This window comes from Homo sapiens, chromosome 14, assembly GCF_000001405.40.
Source record: "Homo sapiens chromosome 14, GRCh38.p14 Primary Assembly".
NCBI classification, from domain to species: domain Eukaryota; kingdom Metazoa; phylum Chordata; class Mammalia; order Primates; family Hominidae; genus Homo; species Homo sapiens.
This window is the reverse complement of record NC_000014.9, coordinates 73,919,448-73,922,698: the sequence shown is the minus strand read 5'-3', so window position 1 is coordinate 73,922,698 and position 3,251 is coordinate 73,919,448. Positions and strand designations below refer to the sequence as shown.

The 3,251-nt window shown below is 40.8% G+C and overlaps 1 protein-coding gene across 6 annotated transcripts in view; it reads right to left on the bottom strand.

Annotated features, from left to right (window-relative positions):
- Window positions 1-3,251, bottom strand: part of ZNF410 (zinc finger protein 410) — a 45,663-nt gene that overhangs the window by 9,823 nt on the left and 32,589 nt on the right. For 5 of the 6 annotated variants that reach the window (NR_040251.2, NM_001242924.2, NM_021188.3 and 2 more), the window contains 2 exons: window positions 1,594-1,719; window positions 493-633 (listed from right to left, as the gene is read on the bottom strand). Coding sequence is in view for 5 of the 6 variants with exons in the window: in NM_001242924.2 (NP_001229853.1) it covers window positions 493-633; window positions 1,594-1,719 (267 nt within the window). In the remaining variant the exon portion in view is untranslated. The remainder of the gene's footprint in view (window positions 1-492; window positions 634-1,593; window positions 1,720-3,251) is intronic. The other variant, NM_001242926.2, reaches the window with a different exon arrangement.

The following is a 3,251-nucleotide window of genomic DNA, read 5'->3' as shown; positions in this document are numbered from 1 at the left end:
CCTGTTAAGTTTTTCAGAGAAGAGGGCCTGGCCTGTGTAACTTGGGTGAAATTTCTATACCAGAGAGGAGCAAGTGTTTCCTAGAGAGCCCTTTCTTTTCTCCAGAAGATATGGCTTTTGAAGGTATGGAGAAATTGCTTTATATCTCCTCTGTAAAACCTGGTTATGTTCTGTTTAAATGTTCTAAAAGTTAAGTTCTTCCATAACTGCAATAGGAAAGATAGAAATAGTTGGGCTAGGATGCTAGGATTAGGAATAATTTTTTCTTAAGAATTTTTTCTTTTTATTCTTTTATTATATTATCTTCAATGAAAAAAAATTTTTTTTTAAACAGATTGACTAATCCACCCCAGAGAATAAGAACACAAATGCTACTCATACCACAGCTACTCATAAGAAATGAGATTTAAACATACATTGTGGAGACACCCCATTCCTTAGCCCCTAGTTGCAGCCCATTTTTCCCAAATAAAGGAGAGTTGGAAGTCTTACCATCATCAACTCCCAGGATAGAATTGGTATTTGGTAGGTTCAAGGACTCTCCACCAAGGCTGGGCTGGGAATTCATAGACACCAGGTTTTTACTGGGTACTGAAGCCTCTTCAAGCAAACTACTGCCCATTAGTGGCTCAGCTGCACAGAGAATAGGTTGTGAGAGACATACAGCAATCAAGGCTGTGCCTGGTCCTCATTTTCTTTCAACAGAAGCTGGCCTTCTCTTTCATTACTAGAAGTTAACCTATAGATGGGATGCCACCCCCTATTTCACCTACTTTCGAGAAACAAGAATAAACCTAGAAGGGAAAGAGTAAGCCTTAGAAGATAATGATCCTTGCTTGTGTTCAGCGTCTGAAGAATTAGCATATGAAACAGGATAGGTGGATCTTTAGAAAGGAATATTTGGAATAATTAAGGAAAGATATGGCGAAGGAATAAGAATTAAAAAGAGTTATCAAATTTCAGGCAGGGCAAAAAGGTAGTCATGACTGGTAAATAAAATATGCTTCCAGCCTGGCCAACATGGTGAAACCCCGTCTCTACAAAAATATAAAAATCAGCCAGGTGTGGTGGCACCTGCCTATAATCCCAGCTACTCAAGAGGCTGAGGCAGGAAAACTGCTTGAACCCAGGAGGCAGAGGTTGCAGTGAGTCGAGATGGCGCCACTGCACTCCAGCCTGGGTGACAAAGCAAGACTCCATCTAAAAAAATTAAAAAGCTTAAACTCTTCCCATGTGGAAATCTTTTATCACTGTGTTACTCAAATGCTTGTTCATGGATCAGCACTAGTTACCATCAAACTCACTAGGGAAACTTTTAAAACTACAGATTCTAGGATCTTGCAAATTATCTCATTTATCAGATTGCTTTGTTTTATTGGTGGGCGGACAAGCAACAAAAAGTATATAAATTTTAAAAGGTTGCAGATGATTCTACTGTATAGCTATGTTTGGAAACCATCAGCCCATCAAATGAGACCAGGTCTATCTACCCAAAACAGAATCAGAAAATTTCCAGATAAGCAGGCAGGACAGTGATTTGGCTCTTGGAACCCTAGAAGTAGTACAGCGTTCCACTATGCCCACCCTCCTCACCAGTTTGCTCCTGCTCTTGACTCCCAGCTGCTCCCAGCTGCAGGTGATGCTTTCTCATATGCACATTCCTGCTTCCACTCTGAGAGAAGGTCTTCCCACAGACTTGGCACTGATGAGGCTTCTCTCCTGAAACAGGGACCAGGTTAAACAAGGAAGCCAAAAGGACAGGAAGAGAATGAACTCAAGACCTAGATGGAGAAACCCAGAGAATGTTAAACTGAACATAAGCAGCTGCTCCTTTTCCCATTCCGCACCTTCCCAGCCTCTCAAACTTCAGTATATGGGGGAAGGCAGGAAGAGTACACCAGGAGGGCTTTAGCACACTCCCTGCTCCCAGCTGCTGGTCCTTTCCAGACCTTCTGTAATGCTGCCTTCACAAAACCTCTTTGGTATAGGACCATGGCAACCACAAAAAATATGCCTTCTTTTTCAGTTAGTCTTCCATGGACCTCTAGGACATGTGCTTTCCTCAAGGATTTCAATCCTGTGTTCCTAATATCCCCTTGTCATATTCCCTGCCACCCTCTTTAGGGTCATCAACATTCACACTGGTGGCTCTTACAACATAATAATCTAAATTGTCCTCTATGTCTTCAAGTCCCAAACTCTCCGTCTCCATTCTACCTACCCAGAAAACCATACTTAGAGCAGGGGTCAAAAACTCATGTCTATAGGAGACTGATAGGTAGCAAAAGTAAGTAAAATGGCCAAGTGGGGGCTGCAGTAACCTAGAGAGTACCTAGAAAAGGGGCAGCTGTTATTCAGCTCTAGCCAACTGTTGCCATGGGTAGATTAAGGCAGATTCTCTGATTTTTTTTTAAGACACTGGAAATAAGGATTTTTAAGTAGAATCTCCCAATTTCTAAATGCTAGGAACAAATTCACAATTGACAAACACATGGTACAGCAATCATCATTGCTGATTGTATTTTGCTGGGAATGCAAAATACAAAAACCTCTTTGGGGGAATCTGACCAGATCTAGAAAAATTGTAGATGCACTTGCCCTTTGACCTAGGAATCCCACTTCTAGGAATATGTCCCAAAATTACAGCAGCAAAATGTGAAATACTCTGTGCACAAGGTTATTCATCACGGCAACATTATTTTAAATGGCTAAATACTGGAAACAACGTAAATATTCATCACAGAGACTGACTAAAAAGCTATAGATACTGCAGTAGTCCTGCATAGCAAAAAAAAAAAAAAAAAAAAAAAAACCTATACAATAGAAACAGGGTGGAATATTACAAAGCTTAGAACTAAAAACTGAATCACCATTTGAACCAGCAATCCCATTACTGGCTATCTACCCAAAGGAAAATAAACTGCTCTACCAAAAAGACACTTGCCCTCACATGTTCAATGCAGCACTATTCACAACAGCAAAGACATGGAATCAACCCAGGTGCCCATCAATGGTAAATACGATACAGAAAATGTGGCACATACACACCATGAAATACTATGCAGCCATAAAAAAGAACAAAATCATGTCCTCTGCAGCAACATGGATGCAGCTGGAGGCCATTATCTTAAGCAAATTAACACAGAAACAGAAAATCAAACACCATGTTCTCACTTATAAGCGGGAGCTAAACACTGGGTACTTATGGACACAAAGATGGGAACAATAAACACTGGGGATTCCAAAAGCGG